This window comes from Homo sapiens, chromosome 14 (assembly GCF_000001405.40).
Source record: "Homo sapiens chromosome 14, GRCh38.p14 Primary Assembly".
Lineage (NCBI taxonomy): Eukaryota > Metazoa > Chordata > Mammalia > Primates > Hominidae > Homo > Homo sapiens.
The window spans coordinates 97,162,012-97,181,947 of NC_000014.9; the positions used below are offsets into that span (position 1 = coordinate 97,162,012).

At 45.1% G+C, this 19,936-nt stretch overlaps 2 annotated features.

Moving 5' to 3' along the window:
- Positions 17,736-18,935: an enhancer, noted in NCBI's record as "CDK7 strongly-dependent group 2 enhancer chr14:97646084-97647283 (GRCh37/hg19 assembly coordinates)". NCBI's record gives its function as "activates an origin of replication core promoter dependent on BRD2, BRD4, P300/CBP, MED14 and CDK7 cofactors, with strong dependence on CDK7, by STARR-seq in HCT116 cells {active_cell/tissue: HCT116}" and the evidence as "EXISTENCE:reporter gene assay evidence [ECO:0000049][PMID:35650434]".
- Positions 18,341-18,635: an enhancer, noted in NCBI's record as "tiled region #9177; HepG2 Activating non-DNase unmatched - State 13:Ctcf, and K562 Activating DNase unmatched - State 12:CtcfO". NCBI's record gives its function as "activates a minimal TATA promoter and a strong SV40 promoter by Sharpr-MPRA in HepG2 and K562 cells {active_cell/tissue: HepG2 | K562}" and the evidence as "EXISTENCE:reporter gene assay evidence [ECO:0000049][PMID:27701403]".

Consider the following 19,936-nt stretch of genomic DNA (forward strand, 5'->3'; position numbering starts at 1 on the left):
CGGTGCCTTCTCACTGTGTCCTCACATGGCGGAAGGGATAAACAAGCTCCCTCGAACTTCTTTTACAAGGACACCAATCCCATTTGTGAGAGCTCCTTAAAGGCTCACCTCTTAATACCATCACACTGGGGACAGGTTTCAATGCAGGAATTTAGGGGGCACAAACACTCAGAGTGCAGCAGAAGGGAAGGCAAGCAGTTTGATTCAAGAACCTAAAGGGGCCAGAGGACGTGAACCGAGATGCACGTGTGGGAGGGAAGGCTTTCTGTTCAGAAACCAAGGGTTGGCAAATTACAGCCTGTAGTCACATCCAGCCTGAGCCTGTTTGTGTATGGCTTGCAAGCTGAGAACAGTTTTTACAATGAACATTTGCAGTTGATTTGAAGATAGGAAACACTATCAAATGTTAAATAAAATATTATCTCAAAAAATTCATTTTTCTTACGTGCAGACCTGTATGATAAAAAATAAATACACCCAACCATTCCATGTTTAATTTCATCAATAAAAATTTTGAGAAAAAATGTTTTCCCTCTTATTGTATAAGTATGTCATACTCTTGATTTTGCCTCTTAGTCTGCATTAGCTCATTTAAGCCTGTTTGTTGCCTGCACTAGGAAGGACAAACTGAAAAGCCTAAACTATGTATTAGATGTGGCTTTTTACAGAAAAAGTGTGCCACTCTCATCTTAAACTCTGGGAAGAGAAGAACTATTTCTATTCACTGAGTGCCTCGGCACTCCTAGGAATGTACCAGCACTTTCAGACGCACTGCTATTTTTTAAATCTTGATCATGACTTTGCAAATTTCACAAACAATGAAAGGAGGTCCTGTGAAGTCAAACGGCCTTCAAAAGTCACAAGATAGGAGTTGACAGAAGCGGGATTTGAACCCAGACCTTCTTGTTCCAGAGTCACCTTTCTGTCGACTACGCCCTGTTAGATCACCAAGGGTCAGCACCAGGTAATTTTAAGACAGGCAGATAAGGAATGCCACTATTCTTTCACTCATTCCATTGAGCCTCTTCTTAAAATCTTAAAAGAGCCATTCTGACTAAAAATCCCTGGGCCTCTCAGGTCTCCAGTTGCTCTCTTGAACTGGGGGATTGGCAGCTTAGACTTCAACGCCATTTTCTGAGTTCTCTGTAGAGGCCCCTGTGAGTTCTTTTTTTTTTGTTTTTTTTTTTTTTTTTCTTTTCTTTTTTGAGACAGAGTCTTGCTCTGTCACCCAGGCTGGAGTGCAGTGGTGCGATCTCAGCTCCCTGAAAGCTCCACCTCCCGGGTTCACACATTTCTCCTGCCTCAGGTGTGATCTCGGCTCACTGCAAGCTCCGCCTCCTGGGTTCACACCATTCTCCTGCCTCAGCCTCCCGAGTAGCTGGGACTACAGGCGCCCGCCACCATGCCCGGCTAATTTTTTCTATTTTCTATTTTTTAGTAGAGACGGGGTTTCACCGTGTTAGCCAGGATGGTTTCGATCTCCTGACCTTGTGATCCGCCCGCCTCGGCCTCCCAAAGTGCTGGGATTACAGGCGTGAGCCACCGCATCCGGCCGGCCCTTGTGAGCTCCAAAATTCCCTCCTCCACCACAAAGGTGGCTGACGGTCGCTGTGGGGTGTAGGCGGTCAAAGATGTAGCCTTTACAAACGTACGGACCCTGGCCTGGGCTCCACACCCCTGGCTGCTCCTTGCTGACATGGGGGAGAAAGACGACCCACCTTACTGAGAGCAGAGCTCACTGCAGTACTAGAGATGCTGGTTCCGCAGCTCTTGCAGCAGTGTGAGCAAGCCGGAATACATTTTAGAAAACTTAATGGAAAAGGAGAAAACACCCACATTAAGAAAACAAATCCGAGTGCCTTGGCGTGCCTTCAGACGCAGACTGTGGTGTGATAGTCATCTTTATTAACTTTCCATCCTGGACTGATCTCCAGTGACGGCACAATTATCATAGCCAGGCAATCGATACCTCATTAAGGGTAAGGCTCCAGAGGAGGAAGAGAGCAAACCTGGGTCTTTCTGAAATGCATTCCCCTCTTTTTAGGTTTCCTTGCTTGTATAAAGAGAAATAGTGCGTACTTGCCTCTGACAAACAAACACAGCCTTCCAGAGTTGAGGGAACCTCATTCCCGAAGGCGATTGTTAGCTGTGCAAGCCAAATGCCCTTGTCCTCCCCCGATGAAGGTCCCCGATGAATGGAGACATTTAGAAGTTTCCCATTTCTCTCTGATGTCAGAGATGTTTTAACCAGCTGGGGGCAGAATTACATTCTGGAAATTATAGGGGATGAGGGGAAAAAAAAAAAAAGTGAACATTACAAATACAGTAGTCTTTCGGATTCTGATCTTCACTATTAATGCATTATAAAACAACTTAAAAAATCCTATCAGGAGAAGTGATGTTTGAAGCCACGATATATTTTAAAAGTGTCAGGACATGGGCAAGTTTACATCTGACAAACAATTTAAATATTTCAATATATTTTATATCTTTAAAAAAAATTGCCAGGATCAAACCCAAGATGAAACTCTTTCATTTGGTACCTGGGTAGGAAAACATTGAGTTACAAATCTTTTTGACAATGTGGATTCTGGGTGTTACATAACCATTTTTAATCTTCTGAAATATTTCATTGCCTGGGAAAGCAAATCAGGGACTGGTATTGTGTGCTTTTAAATTCATTTGTCTTAACACCCTTTCACTTTCTTGTTCAGCTTTGATGGTGTGATTACTTCTCTACATAAATATAAGCCTGAATTCATTCTGGGTATAAGCCTTATCTCTTTCCTCAGTGGTGATAAGGGATGGAGAGGCCCCCTTTTTTTTTCCTGGTGGGCTTTAAAGTGAATTTAGTAGTGAATAGTGTCTGCTGTTTCAGAAAAGCCCATTTATTTCTCCTTATAATCAGAATAGCACAGACCACGGAGCCCAGCATTTCCTCATTCCAGGTTCAGACACAGGGAAGATTTATTGAGCATCTACTATGAATTGGACACCCTGCTAGGCATGGCCCTGCCAGGAGGAACAAGGCACACACCGTTGTCCTTTAGGGCTTGTCTGCATTAGCTTGTTTAAGCCTGTTTGTTGCCTGCACTAGGAAGGACAATTAACTTGCCCCCACTGTAGTCAGTGAGAGAGTGGGGAGTTAGACTCCAGGTTGTCTGAATCCAGTTTTTCCTTGCTGAGGACCCGGTCGAGGAGCAATGAGTGGGAGTAGGGAGGAAAAATCATGTCAGGCCATGGTAATGATGGGAGCTGGGGTCCCTGGAGGCAGGGAGGTGGGCGAATGGTTTGTCCTATGCTTTGCAATTGTCCTTAAGCTCATCACCAGGTTGGTGGTGGTGGTGGCAGGGCTGCAGGACGTGCTGGGTCAGCTCCTGGGTCATTCTAGATTGCCATGGAAAACCTTCCCCTACCGACATTTTATTTCTTCCAAAATTCCTTTTGCAGATTATTTCCCTTTCTTTTCTTCTTGGCTCTGTCAACCAAACAGTCTCAAAAGCAATGGGAGGTCCCCTCGCCCAGCTTTTCAATGCCTTGAAGGAAAAATGAAGCCCCCAGAAGGACTCAAGCTCCAGGGAAGTGCAGTTCCATGAATAACTCCCCTGGAATGCCTTAGCCAGAAAATGTCCAAAGCTGGTTCTGGCTGAGCTGGAGACGGAGAGACCTCCATGGACAGAAAGCCATGCCTTCTAGTTGCAGAGTGGCATCCTGGGGAGCAGAAATGTTCCATCTGGAGACAGTTCAGAAGGTAGGGTGGCCAGATTTAGCAAAGAAAGCTATAGGACTCCCAGTTAAATTAGAATTTCAGATAGACAACAAATAATATGACATTTGGGACATACTTATAAACATTATTTGTGTGTATCTGAAATTCAAATTTAACTGGGCCTCCTGAATTTAACCTGGTAGCCCTATCAGAAGGGTACACTCTGCTTCACTGGCCATGTCCTAACTGTTCTCTGTTCTGGTGCAAAGGAGCTAACTCATCCCTTGTATTCATTTATTTTTTATTTTTATTATAGTATTATTATTATTATTTTTGAGACGGAGTCTCACTCTGTTGCCAGGCTGGAGTGCAGTGGCATGGTCTTGGTTCACTACAACCTCTGCCTCCCGGGTTCAAGCGATTCTCCTGCCTCACCCTCCCGAGTAGCTGGGACTACAGGCGCACACCATCACACCCAGCTAATTTTTGAATTTTTAGTAGAGACGGGGTTTCACCATGTTGGCCAGAATGGTCTCGATCTCTTGACCTCGTGATCTGCCCGCCTCAGCTTCCCAAAGTGCTGAGATTACAGGCGTGAGCCACCACGTCTGGCCGTATTCATTTATTTAATTTTTTTTTAGTGATGACGGAAGAATCTATTTTAATTGGAAGGCGTGGCTTGGGGGGCTTTTCTTTCCTCTTCCAACTCTCTCAGTACTGTAGCCCCCAGGCCACCCCAGAAAAAGATATAAGAATACACTGTGAGTTGATTACAGCACTTCAGCTTTAAAACCAGGTCCCCAGTCCTCTCTTCCAAGCAGATAGGCACCCCCAGCCCCTCCCATGTAGAAATTCTGGAGCCTTACTGGCTTTAATCAAATGTGCTTTTAGTCTCACTCAGGCCAGTTAATCCCCATTTGTGGTGACTCCCCTGCTTATAGCAGACGCCGCTGGCGGCAGAGTCATCTTTATAAACGGCCATGGTGATCGCATCACACCTCTGCTTGCAAACCCTCGCCAGGAGATGACGTTGCTGTCACTAGAAATGACTCACCTGGAGAAGACATTTATGCAGCCAAAAGACATATGAAAAAATGCTCATCATTACTGGCCATCAGAGAAATGCAAATCAAAACCACAATGAGATACCATCTCACACCAGTTAGAATGGTGATCATTAAAAAGTCAGGAAACATCAGGTGCTTGAGAGGATGTGGAGAAATAGGAACACTTTTACACTGTTGGTGGGACTGTAAACTAGTTCAACCATTGTGGAAATCAGTGTGGTGATTCCTCAGGGATCTAGAACTAGAAATACCACTTGACCCAGCCATCCCATTACTGGGTATATACCCAAAGGACTATAAATCATGCTGCTATAAAGACACATGCACACGTATGTTTATTGAGGCATTATTCACAATAGCAAAGACTTGGAACCAACCCAAATGTCCAACAATGATAGACTGGATTAAGAAAATGTGGCTCATATACACCATGGAATACTATGCAGCCATAAAAAATGATGAGTTCATGTCCTTTGTAGGGACATGGATGAAATTGGAAATCATCATTCTCAGTAAACTATGGCAAGAACAAAAAACCAAACACCGCATATTCTCACTCATAGGTGGGAACTGAACAATGAGAACACATGGACACAGGAAGGGGAACATCACACTCTGGGGACTGTTGTGGGGTGGGGGGAGGGGGGAGGGATAGCATTAGGAGATATACCTAATGCTAGATGACGAGTTAGTGGGTGCAGCGCACCAGCATGGCACATGTATACATATGTAACTAGCCTGCACATTGTGCACATGTACCCTAAAACTTAAAGTATAATAATAATAAATTAAAAAAATTGTAGTATCCTTTAGTTTTAACAAAAAAATAAAAAATAAAAAAAAATAAAGACACATGCACACGTATGTTTATTGCAGCATTATTCACAATAGCAAAGACTTGGAACCGACCCAAATGTCCATCAATGATAGACTGGATTAAGAAAATGTGGCACATATACACCATGGAATACTATGCAGCCATAAAAAAGGATGAGTTCATGTCCTTTGTAGGGACATGGATGAAGCTGGAAACCATCATTCTCAGCAAACTATCACAAGGACAAAAAACCAAACACCGCATATTCTCACTCATAGGTGGGAATTGAACAATGAGAACACATGGACACAAGAAGGGGAATATCACACACTGAGGCCTGTTGTGGGGTGGGGGGAGAGGGAGGGGGAGGGATAGCATTAGGAGATATACCTAATGTAAATGACTAGTTAATGGGTGCAGCACACCAACATGGCACATGTATACATATGTAACAAACCTGCACGTAGTGCACATGTACCCTAAAACTTAAAGTATAATTAAAAAAAAAAGACATGACTCACCTGGCAAGCTCTTATTGTCCTTTAGGTCTCAGCTGAGATGCCCTTTCCTCTAGGAAGGATTTTCTCATCCTAACCCACCTGAACCCACCTCCCGGCAAAAAGCCCAAGGGTTAGAAGCCCTCCTGTGCACCTTCAGGGCACCTTAGAACCTCCCATCAGGGCTTCTGCCACCCTGTGTTATCATTTCACAAATGGCATGTCTGCATCTTTTCCTAGACTTTCAGCTCCTTCAGAGCAGGGGATCCCCCTTGTCCTTCACCATGTCCCAGCACCTAGCAGAGGCTGGTACAGAGCAGGTGCTCAGAGTGTGTTTGCCAAATGACTGACTACTAACCTAGTGAATGAGCAGGCCAATGGAAGAATCAATGAATGAATGACGGTGTTAAAGAGAGTTTCAGTGACTCAGTAAAACATTTTTGATGTAATATTCCACAAAAGGTTTCAGACTCTAAGTTGTGCACATATAATGGCTTTTATGCAATATTATATACATACTTTAAAGATTACTGAGTAAAGGGAAGAATCTCATTGCAGAAGCAAGGAAAAGTGACAGTGGTCCCACACTTACGAGGCCAGAGCCATAAAGTTGAATGCCTGTAGCAGCAGCTGCCTTTTACGGATTTCTGGGGCAGTCAAGCTTCAACTGCTAAAGACCGCAGGGTTAACTCATGGATGAGATCCTATACATTCTCAGTGGTGCCCCCATTTCTTTTTCCTACGAGGCCTTCTTTATTTAGGGTAGATACCAAGTACACAAAATCAAAAGGGCCATAGGAGTGTCAGAGGGGGCAGATTAGAGGAATATTCTTTATCTTTTAGCCGCTTGGCATCATCTCACCCTTCTCTCCCTTTGGGAAAAATTCTGGCTTCTACACGGACCCAGGAGGAGACCAGTCCTGGGTGACCCCCTCCTTCTGCTGCCTGTCCTCCCACACCAAGGAGCTCAGGTCCTTCTCCCACCAGCTTGGTGGTACAGCAAGGGGACAGGCTCATGACCTTGGCTCAGCCCATGAGACGCAAACTCCCAGATGCCAGCTTTGTGGACTTGGTGGCAGTTGGAGTGGGCCATGCTAGGTTGCCAATGCTGTCTCTGCTCCTGTGCCAGCGTAGTCCTACACAAGCCTGGTCCTCAGCCTCCCATCAAATCTGTCCACCCCTTGCCTTCTTCCAATAGCCTGCCCCCACTCCCTTTGTTGCAAAAAGCAGGCAGAGTAGGTTTCCACTAACTTTAACAAGAACTCATATACATACATCAATCGATTGGTTGAACAGCCAGTTGATCACTGAATCCATCTGAGGACCTCTATGTGACCAGCATTGTGCAAGGATGCTCTATCTGTCTCTGAGCACCTCCATCCCGGTTTTCCCTGCATCCCAGGGTACTGACCCTCCCCAGTGCACAGAAGGCTTGAGTAGCCCCAGCCCAGGTCCCTAGTCTTACCTCCCAATGCATCCCACATGGATGCAACTATTGTCCTCAGTTCTGATACCTCCACGTTCATCTCCATAACAAAACCCATTGCTCACCAAACTGTCCAAGACATTTCCTTGGGTCCTTATAACCTTCCTGGAACCTCAGTTCTTCACAGACCTGCCTTGGCTTTGTAGGACAGAGACAAGTGACCAGCCAGGGCCACTTACACTTGCTGTTGTATATTGCAGGTCCTGCTGCCTGTGCGCTTCCCATCTTGCCATCCCTGGATTCCCTGCTCCTTCTAATGTCCATCTTGTATATTTCATTCTGGGCCTGTTGACTATTGGCCCATTTTCTAGACATCTTTTGTACCTGCTGGACCCCCAAATGAGCTACGTTAGGGTCACCCCCAGTGTCCTGCTCTGCCAGGAACAGTGACCTCCTTGTCTCCCCTGCAGAGCCTGGTGAGGAAGATGTAACCAAGATGCAGGACACCCCAAGAACAGTCACGTGCTAACTGTGTGGTGGAGGCTACAGCACAGCTGGGGTCTGCAGAGCACTGTGATGCACCCTGTAATCTTCAGGATTGCAGCTTCCTATTTGTTACCTCTTCCAAGTGTCAAGAACGCTGAGGCCTCAGAGACATGGGCCTGGATGCCACACAGAGCCCATTGCTGACAGCAGGAACACCCAGTAGGTCAGCATCCCCCACTGTCAGTCTGCAAAGGGTCAGGCTGCATTCCAAACAGGAGCTGCAGGGCAGATTGGAAGAGCCCTGGGCAATGGCACTGGAGGCTTTTGTTTTTGTGTGGCTTTAGTTCCTCAGGGGCTGTGTGACCTTGAAGATCTCTCATCTTCATTAAAAAAAAAAATTAAAACACAAGGAAGTTAAACCGGAGGACACATCTGAGACACTGAAGAATAATCATAACAAGGATAAGGAGGGAGCATCATTTATTGAATGCCTACTGTGTGCCATAAGCTTCAGGCACATTGTCCCATCTCATCCTCACAATCGCATTTTCCCCATTTTGCTGAATCTTATGGCTCCCCTGTCTGGAAATGCACCGATGCTTTCACGACTGTAAAACCAAAGTGGAACTTTTCTGGGCTGGTGAAGAGCCCTTGTTTAGTCGAGAGCAAGGGAACTCGGTTGTGTTCCTCTGATTGCACTTCAGGTCACTTAGTCCCTAAATGTACAACCGAAAAAACACTAACTGGTAACTGATCAAATTATCCTGTTAGGAAGATAGATGGTTATAATAGCAGCAGGGAAAATAACCCCAGAGTTGAACAATGTAATTATATGTGGGTTAGATTCAATATTAAGTCACCCCGTAATCATGTAAAATTTATATTTTGGTTCTTGAACTATTTTTCTCTAAGGATTTAGTTGCTGGGTGTTTATGTCTAATATGGGAAGGAAAATACCCCACAAGGATGGTTATGAGGTTTGAAGAGAAGGGCAGGACTTGACAGATTCCCAAGCCCTCTGTGATCAACACCTTTGTACCTTTTAAACACCAGAGATTTATTTACTTTTACTTATTATTGACACAAATAATCCTGTCTTTGGCTCAAAGATACATACATGGAGTCAGAATTTTCTACTGGACAAGACAGAGATGAACATCCTAAGGTTGGAGTCTGTTTGTTTTTTTTTTGTAAGTGCAGGAAAGTCAGCACAGAGAGGTTAAAAGGCTCACCCGAGGTCCCACAGGGGGCTGGGGTCAGACCCAGGGCTGCAGTCCAGCCTTCCAGACCTGTCCTGAAGAGATTTTTATGTAAGAAAACCAAGTGTCTGCCGATGCCCACTGCTACAGCTGGACATTAGAATGGGCCCACTTTCATCCTAGCCCCATCCCCGGAGCGTGCTAAGCCCTTGCCCACCTTGGTGACTTTATACTCGCTTCTGCCTGGCATCAGTTAATGCTTTTCTCAAGCACTGGCCCATGCTTCACCTCTCTGAAGTTTCTTCTTCCTCCTGTGTCTGGTTCTCTGACTTTAGGGCCTAGAAGACAATCCAACATTTAAGAGTCATTAGTAGCTGTTAGCGGAGGGATAAAAAAATGAACGAATGAATGAATGCAGGATAAACACTGGGATCCCAGGAAATTCCCATATGTGGACACATCCCTTTCCTCCCACACACTGCTTTAAATGTCATGTCTCTTAACTTTTATTTAAGGTTCCTACAAGCCATATGATGCTATTTCTGTGTTTCCTGTGCAACATTGAACTTGAGATATTTCATTCAGACTTTAGAACTAGGAAAGTCTGTCTCCCCTGGGGAGCTGTTGTGGTTTGTTGCTTTCGGACAATCCAAGTTATATAACATTGAGTTTCCCTCATTGCTTTGGCCACTAGGAAGCTCAGATCCTGGTTCTAAACTCAGTCACAGCAACTGAGCTGACCCTTGTGTGTTTTCTTATTTTTAGTGCCATTTTATTAATCGTATTTTACATTGGCTCTTTAAGTTGCCTCAAATTCTTTTTTTTTTTTTTAAATTGAAAGATGCAGAGTATAAATACATCTGATGAGTACATTTTAAAAATAACATCATGGAGGAATAACACTTTGTGCTATTTCGGGATTCATGATCTAGGTTACAGATTACTTGAGCTTCCGGAGTCTCCTGATTATCACCAATGAGCAGACTGAGGCTTTCTATCTGAAACCACTTTGCTGCCCTCTCTGCCCCCACATGGTGAGGGTTTGCTAAGTGGACCTGCCGAATAACCACAGCTTTCCAGAGCTCTTTCTTTAGTGCTGAGAGGTACATGAGAGGTGAATGGCAAAGGAAAGGAATTGAGGTAAAAATGCAAGCACAGATTGCCACCATTTCCTATTGAGTGTGGTAAAATAATTGGTTTCTTACCATTTTATACAAGGCATTTCTCAGTCTAACCACAAATTAGTTCTTAAGCCTCTTCTCTTCCACCATTTCCCCTGCTCCTTCCATCCCCCACACATCAGTCATATAAAACTCCTCTGTTCTTCAGACATGAAATGCCCTTTCCTCCACTTCTTGTCCAGGCCAACTGCTCCTCATCCTTTACAACTCCAATGAAACGACTCCTTTTTCTGAGGAAACATTCTTGATCTCCCCACTCCCACATATGATAATTTACTCTTTATTATTCTTGTTTAGTGTACCCGTGGAATCAATAGTTGTATAAACTTCACTGGCGCAATGAGCCCATTGTACTGTGGTGAGCAACAGGTTTTACTTGGAGGAGAAGTTAAGAGTCTAGTCTTCCCAGACTTGAAGCTCAGTACTGCCACTTAGTAGTCACATGACTTTTGGTAGAGTACTGAATGTCTGTGCCTTAGTTTCTGCATCTGCAAAATGGGATAACAAAAGTACCCCCTGCATAAGAGGATGGCAGAGTAAACACATTTAGTGTTTAGTATATTACCTGGCATATAACAAGCTCTGCACAAATGTTAGCTCTGTTTTTAATCACTTGTCTTTCCCTTGACTTGTTAGGATGGGGTGTCTATTATGTTTACCCAGATTCTCTTGTCTTTTCCTGAGGACACTTAGTAAAATTTTAGCAAATGATGGTAGAATGAATAATTGAATGAGAGAGTTGGATTATGTGAAGTGTGATTCTCTCCCCCAGGGAATTGTGTTTATTTTAGGACTTAGTCCTTACCCTTTCCTTCCAATAACAAAACACAGCCTCCATCCCACCCCCAGGCCCAGGAGGAGAGGCCTTTTTGAAGAGGAAGGAGCTGCTCATGCCTCTGCATAGACGCCTTCCTTCCTTCTGAGTTCTCCCTACCCACCTGGGGGCAAGGTGGTGGTGACTGCCTCACTACCCAGATCCAACTCAATGTCCTGCTGACAAAGGAATCATCCCTCAGCCTAGCAAGTGCTGAGATCTCTGGGGAAGCAGGGCCTCAATGAATGGGAAAAGCAGCAGACTCCTACGAAGCCTGCTGGGAGGAAGAGGGACGCAGAATTGGCATTGGGGTTTGAGCAGCAAGAGAGACTGGTGGGTTTCCAACACCCCTCCCCAACCTGGCCTTTCTCCCACAGCTTGGATGGACCTGGGACCCTTAGGAGCCACAGACCTCAGGAGCCAGCCACACCTGCACAGTGTTTACTGAGCTGGGTGTCAGACTTACCCCTGATGAGGCCCTGGTCAGTGGTGAAGAGGAAAGCCAGACAGCTCAGGAGATGGCTACCACCAATCATGGGAAGTATGTACTCCAGAATCATCCCAGCCAGGGTGCACTGCAGGGATAAATGCTGGGAACACTGAGAAGACAGGCTCGTCCCTGTGCTAGGGTGCATGGAAGGCTTCCTGGAGGAGGTAATATCTACCCTGCTCGCAGAAGGAGTGAATGGGACATGGCCTGGTCAGGTCAACCTGAAAGTTTTGAGCAGGTGAATAAACCAACTTAAAAAAACTTTCCACATGTTTCTGTACTCCTCTGGGTGGCCTCCTCCTTATGATTCTACAGAGAAAGGCTGGCTTCTGGCCTTGCCTAGGTTGGGAATGGGTGAAAACTCTCTGAGGAATGGAAAAGTCATTGCTAACTGATACTTGGCACAGCCTCATCGGTGTCTTTTATTTTTTATAATCTACTCTTTATGTTAATTATAACATTAGGCTCACTCCATGATTTGTACGCCCTAAAGTTGTTCCCCATTCAATGACCACAGTCAAAATAGCACTAATTCCTGTTAAATGTCTTGAAGAACATTAAAAACACACACACACACACACACACACACACACACACACACACACACACAACTTTCCCTTATAATGATGCCCTCTACCACTCCTTGCAATAAGATCCTTAACATAGAACTGCCTTGGGTTGAAGAGTTTTTTCTCTCTAATTCAGGATTATAAATTGTGACTTAAAACAATTGCAATAAGAGGCCCCATAAACATTGTTAAAATGATGGTGTTTGAAGAGATGTCCGCACTATGTATATTTCACAGCTGGAATAGATCTCTTTGGGGAGCATGTCTCCTCCCTGGTGTTTGGCAAAGTATAATTGAATTAGTGAAAGTCTAATAAAGTTTGGGGAAATGTCGAGATATAAGAATCGAAAATAAAATAAAGATAATTTAATCATTAAAGTTGGCGCTGGTTTTTAGGACATTCATTGCTATGGAGATGTTAGAGTAGATTCCAGCTTGCATTTTAATGGTGAACTTAAATAAATCTGAGTTCTGGAGAGAAACTGCTAGTGTATGGAATCTGAGCTAATGAGTGAAATAGCTCCGACTTGGAGTTAAAGCCAGGTAGTCATTTGCAGGGAAGAAGCCGAATAATCCAAGCCCTGTCTGGTTTTTGAATTTATTTTCAAGTTTTTTGATTTTTGGAGCTAAGCCCAAACTCTTTAACCAGGCATGTGGGGCCCGCCATATTCAGGAACCCACTTTCTTTCCAAATTCCGGTGGCCTGGACCAGCTCTGCCCTTGGCTTCACATGACCTGGCCCACCTCTCCTTCAGGGACCTTCTCAAAAGCCCCGTCTGTTGGTAACCCCTGCACTTTCCTTGAACTACTGCAGGGAGTGGTTCCATGCACTGCGTAGGAGTGTGGGATCTGGAGTCAGGTTGCCTTGGTTCAAATCCCAGTTCTGACTTTTCCGAGACTCAGTTTCTTTATCTGTAAAATGGGGATAATAATAAAACCTGCCCTTAGTGTAAGTACTTATGCAAGGTGTCCGTGCTTACCCTGTGCCTGGAAACTACTCAGTGCTCACTATAGATTTCACTGGGCACTCATCCCATTCTGCCTTATACACAGATAGCCACTGACGTACATGGCTTCTCTCCCCAGTGGAGTTCAGGTGCCTCGTCGAAGGAAAAGATGACTTATATAAGTTTACAAATAGTAGATGTTCAATAAGTGTGCTTAATGAATAAATAGGTATCCCCTAACGGTAGTGTATCTGTATTTGAGGAACGTAGAAGGTTTCTCTCTGTATAATAATGTAGAAGTCTAATTATTCTATTTCTGTTGCACTTCTATAATAGGGAGGACATTTAGTGTCCCTGGGTGCCTGGCACTGAGCTAAGTGCTTTTCAAAGAATCCTATGAGATAAGCACTCTTATTAACATCCCATATGCTGGTTCATTCATTAGAGTAATGCTAGAAAAGACCCCAAAAGGATATTTTCAAATCACCTAAGAGTTTCATGTGGGTGTCTGTGCCCAGGGACAGCTTCCTCCATACAGTGATTCAGGGACTCAGGCTTCTCCCCTTGCGTGGCTCCATCAGAAAGGTGAGAGTGGGCAGGGAAGAGGCAACCGCGTTTTCTAAAAGCTTGCACTGAAATTAACAAAGATCAGTGAGGAAAATCAATGACCACACCTTGAAACCTGGGCAGAAGGGTGCTGGGAAACATGGACTGGGGTTGGGCAGCTCCTTTAGTCCTGCATAGGCACTGCTCCCTGCCAGGGATCAAGAGCCGACTCTGTGCATTTCTGTCCAGCGCCACGTCCAAGGATGTCGTGGGAAGCTAAACACCAGCCACGGTGAGAGTATTTACACCACAGCATTTAACAAAGGCTACACATCAAGGTTTTTGTTTTGTTTGTTTTCAGTGAGCTGGTTTACCAGCACCTTCCCAGTGCCAATGCAACTGAAAGAAAGGGAGAACATGAATTTTGAGACACTGGTCCTCTCTGTTAGGTACAAAATTAACCCCATTTTAAGGACGATGAGGTGGAGGCTCAGTCATGCCAACTAACTACCCTTCTCCTGGACTGCAGAACTAATGAGAGTTGAGTAGAGACGAGCTTCTGACTCTAGCTCTTACTGCCCTGCCATCTGGCCTCCCAAACCCAGAACATTTACTTGCAAGATTATTAGCAATTCTATTTTTAATGTACACACATGTTTACCCTCCCCCAAACTATTTTAGAACGATAGGGGGAAAGAGGATAATTTCTTTTTTCTGTAACGAGAGGTTTGATTAGAATTGAAGCCACTTTCTTTCCCCTTTTATCATTATTAAAAATAATTTTTTCTTTCTTTGTCTGAGAATTGCTATAGGAAACATTATTGAATAGGATCCCGCAGCTATGAGCATTGTTCCATAACTACGAAGGCCCAAACAGCATTTTTTTTCTCTCCCAGAAACTGTGGTGGCTGACTATTTTTTACTGAGTATTTTCCTAGTAAATCTCACTGCTAAATTGGCCACTTTATTCATGATGATTTCTTCAAATATATCATTCTTGTGGCACAATATGAATAATGAAGAGGAATATTTTCAAACACATAAAGGGCTCTGAATAAAACTAATGGGTGAGGCATTAAGCAAAGTCGATAGGGGCTTGAACAGTCCCCGGCATGCCTGATAAGGAGACTGGAGGTCGCATACGCCAGGGACCAGAGACTTTCATCCCTGGAGATCCTTGACCTTGACCCAGCAGTCAGGGCTAGCCTGAGCATCTGTGTCAAGTCGAGTTGGCTCTCTCAGACTTCATGCAGCCATCAGTGCACCTCTACTTAGCCTCTCTCTGAGAGGCAGGAGGATGCCCAGGTTAGAGACTTGGGCGAGGAAGCCAACCACCAGGATTCGAATCCAGACCAGCTGCTCCTGTCTGTGAAGCTTTAAGGAAGCTGACTTAACCCCTCTGCAGCTCTGTCTCCTCATCTTGAAAATAGGGACAATTATAACCACGAGAGGGCACACCTGCAACTCATAGACTGTGAAAGGCTTAAAACCCTGCGGGCAGGTTTACACGCTTTGTATCACTGCAGTGATTATTACTGTTGTTACTACCATCATCACTATAATCTACCACGTATTGGGTGCTCCTGGGGCAAGTACAGGGAGGCACTTTGGGCCCCTAAGTATTACCCTGCATGGGGCAAGTTGTTGTGGCTGATGCTTCAAATTGCCAACATTTAAAAAGGCTGGACACGTAGGAAAACAATCTACTGACTTCTCTTGGGGAAGAAATAAGTTTGCCACTGTTCTCACCTCTCTGAGGCCCTCTACCTCTGACCTCCTTCACAGTGCCTGGTTGTGTAGATATGTGAATTTGTGGTTGTGTTAGTCCATTCTCACATTGGTATAAGGAAATGTCGAAGACTGGGTAATTTATAAAGGAAAGAGGTTTAATGGACTCGCAGTTCTGCATTGCTGGGGAGACCTCAGGAAACTGACAATCACGGCGGAAGGTAAAGGGGAAGCAGGTACCTTCCTCACAGGGCAGCAGGACGGAGTGAGGGCAAGCAGGGGAAATACCAGACACGTAAAACCATCAGATCTCATGGGACTCACTCACTCACTATCATGAGAACAGCATGGGGCAACCACCCTCATGATTCAATTACCTCCCACTGGGCCCCTCTCACAACATGTGGGGATCATGGGGATTTCAATTCAAGCTGAGATTTGGGTGGGCACAAACCCAAACCATATCAGTGGCTTTTCCTTGAATAATGAAAAATAAAATGGATTTGGCTTGGTTTGGGGATCAAAAATCACTGCTGAGACAGACTGGAGGATGAGAGGCTGAATCACGGAGAAGAGCCCTGGGAAGAGGAAGGCAGTGTTATTAACAGTGTTGTCTCTGGCTTTGTGGGGTTAGGCATAAGTTAATTGCCATTGGTGCAGTACTGTCATCACACCAAAGATTCTGGCTCAGTATCTGCTTCTAAGGACAAGGGTCCCATTGGATGTCCACCCCCAGCCCACCTGGCCTGGCACCAGGGGACAGTAGATGTTTCAGAGTGAGGGAATCTATTCAGTATCCCTTATGCCCATTCAGAAACTCAGCAAACATTTTTTCATGCACCTACTATGTGTTGGGCAGAAGGTTAACTTCTATAACATTATTTTATTTAGTTAAAAATGTTCTTCATAGCCTTTAGCTGATGCTATTTTATATGATACATTTGTTATTTGCATAGGATGTCTCTCTTCTCACTTCCTCAGGACAGGGGCTCACTTTGTTCGCCGCTATATTCCCCAGTGCCGGTGTCTGGAATCAGGCTGATACCCCGTAGAACTTCTTGAACTAATGAATGAATAAATGTGTTCTCTCACACTCTTTCAGATGGGTGTTAATCTCTGTAATACCAGGTTAGGAACAGAAGTTCAAAGAGGATGAGCACAGCACAGGGGTTAGAAGCAAGGACTTCAGAGTCAGGTGGAACTGCAAGGTTTTATTTCATTTTACTTACTCTTTTTCTCTCCAAGCCTCATTCTCACACTGAAAAATAGGAATCATAGTAAACCTACCATACATAGTGGTTTTGTGAGGATTAAATTAAGTCAGAGAAATAACTTTGCTCTGTTCCTGGCATATTGGGAAATATTCAGTGATTTGCAGCCAAAATTATGACATAGAGGTAGGACTGGGTTGAGTGTAATCTCTGTTCTCTGGCTCCTTTCCCAAACACTAAGGGTCGATTCTACACAATGGTGATGAAGGAAGCAGGATGTGGCTTCAGGGACAGTCATCTTCCCTTTAAGGGTCGTGTGGGCTCATGCATGTTAACTGAACGTCTACTATGAGCCAAGCCTACAAGATCTGCAGTCACAGATACAAATGCGGCACAGCTCTTGCTTTCAACTTTGCTCTCAGCCTCATGGAAGAAACTGATAATTCAGAGAAACGGACTGTATGAGTTTTCTGTTGCCATTATAACAAATCATCACCTTCTTAGTGGCTTGAAACAACGTGAATTTATCTCACTGTTCTGCAGGTCAGAAATCCAGAATGGGACTGTGTTCCTCTCCGGAGGTTCTAGGAGAGAATCCACTTATTTGTCTTTTCCAGCTTCTAGAGGCTGCCCATATTCCTTGGCTCATGGCCCTTCATCACTATGACCTCTGTTTATTTTATCACCTCTTGTCCCTTCAGTCTGACACCCCTGCCTCCCTCTTATAAGGACCACTGTAATTACATCAAGCCATCCAGATAATCTGGAATCATGTTCCCATCTCAACATCCTTAACTTACTCACATCTACAAAGTTCCCTTTGCCATCTAAGGTAACATAGTCACAGGTTTGAGGGATTGGGACGTGGACATCTTTGGAGGGGCATTCTTCTGATATGGTTTGGCTGTGTCCCAACCCAAATGTCATCTTGAATTGTAGTTTCCATAATCCACATGTGTCATGGGAGGGACCTGGTGGGAGGTAACTGAATCATGGGAGAGGTCACCCCATGCTGCTGTTCTCATGACAGTGAGTGACTTCTCACAAGATGTGATGGTTTCATAAGGGGCTTTCCCTGCTTTTGCTCAGCACTTCTTCCTGCCATCTTGTGGAGAAGGACGTGTTTGCTTCCCCTTCCACGACCACTGTAAGTTTCCTGAGGCCTCCCCAGCCATACAGAACTGTGAGTCATTTAAACCTCTTTCCTTTATAAATTACCCAGTCTCAGGCAGTCCTTTACAGCAGTGTGAGAACGAAATAATACACTACCTCAATGACAGTAGGACTGCATTAATGCATTGATAAGGACTGCAGTGGAAGCTCGGAGGTGGGATACCTTATGCAGTTTTGAGAATCAGGGTTTCATCATCTAGAAAGCAAGAGTTTGAATGCACCGATTCCCAAGGCCACAACCTTGAACATTCTGAAATCTACAAAAAGCCAGTGTCTTTCCTACTGTAGTATTTTGGGTTTGCTGAATCTAAGGTCTACTTGTGAAGTCAACATCTTTGCAAGTTATCAATATTAAGAAAAAGGACCCACACATAATATCTGGCTCCCTTCATGAACACACTCTACTATGTTCCCCCTGCCAGCTTCCCCAAAACAGCCTGGGGGCCATGGTCACAGGAACCACCAGCCCACCCTCCAACAACTCAGAGGGACCTTGACGTTGGTTGAGGGGCCCTTGAAAAGGGAATGAAGTGCTGCTGAAGAGCGTCCCCCACCCTGCCCATGCCACCTAGCGGATCTTCTTTCAAACCCTGCATTTCTGAAGGCACGTCTTCCTGTGCTTGGCTGGGTGACTCATCACAAGGAGAAACGTTAGTCACATCAGATGACACATGGCAGCAGCTAAAACGGGAAAAGCGCTCCCTGAGTCATCCCTGGAGCCGGGCGGCAAAGGCTCCTCCTGGGACCATGTGTGGACCCTCCAATGAGGGGGGCCTGGGTCACCTTCACTGAGTGGACAGGACACTCAGTGAAGTTCCAAAGGACACTCAGTGAAGTTCCAAAGGACACTCCGCGTCTTTTTCCTCCAGCTCCTGAAGGAAGCACAGTGAAGACTCCAGCATGGAAAAGCGTGTCCCACACGGCCTCGGCGCCTCCATGGATGATAGGCATGGGGCACCCCCTTTCCTCTGGAAGGTTCTGGTGGGGGGCAGCACACCGTCCACGGGAGCAACGGCCTCTGCATCTGCCCACTGCAGATTCACTTCGTATTTTTAGTTCCCAAACCTTGACATCCAAGCTCCCGCTCTGTGGCTTCCGCGGCAGCCTGGCAAGCTTCCTGTGAAGTCGCCCGCTGCTGAGCTTCCGCACCCTTCCTCCCGCAGAGCCAGCCAGTCATGGAAGAGCGGGATCATCCCGGAAGGTTGGTGCGACAGGAGTGGGTGGTGAGGAAGGCGAAGGCAGCCTTCTCGGAACCTGGCTCCCTGAGACAGGACATGGAAGCAGGGGTGTCCTCTTCTGTGGAACGTCATTTAGCTTCTTCTCACCCATTCTGCAACACACACACACACACACATACACACACACACAAACACGCCACATGTACACATGCACATATACGCACAAATACACACAGTACACACTGTGCATACACATGCGGCACACACAGTACCCACATGTACACATGCACACATACACACAAATACACACACAGCACACACACATACACACATGCAGTACACACAGTACCCACATGTACACATACACACATATGCACAAATATGCACACAGTACACACGCACATGCGGTACACACAAAGTACCCACCTGTATGCATATGCACATATACACACACAGCACACACACACACACACAGTATACACACAGTACCCACATGTACACATGCACACATCCACACAAATACACACACAGTACACATACATACACACATGCAGTATACACAGTACCCACATGTACACATACACACATATGCACAAATACACACACAGTACACACACAGACACACATACAGTACACACACATAGTACCCACATGTATGCATATGCATATATACACACACAGTACACACACATACACACATGCAGTATACACACGGTACCCACGTGTACACATGCACACATACGCATGAATACACACAGACAGTATGCTCATACACACATGCAGTATACCCACAGTACCCACATATACAAATACACACATATGCACAAATATACACACTGTATGTACACACATGCAGTACACACACTACACACATGTACACATACACACATATGAACAA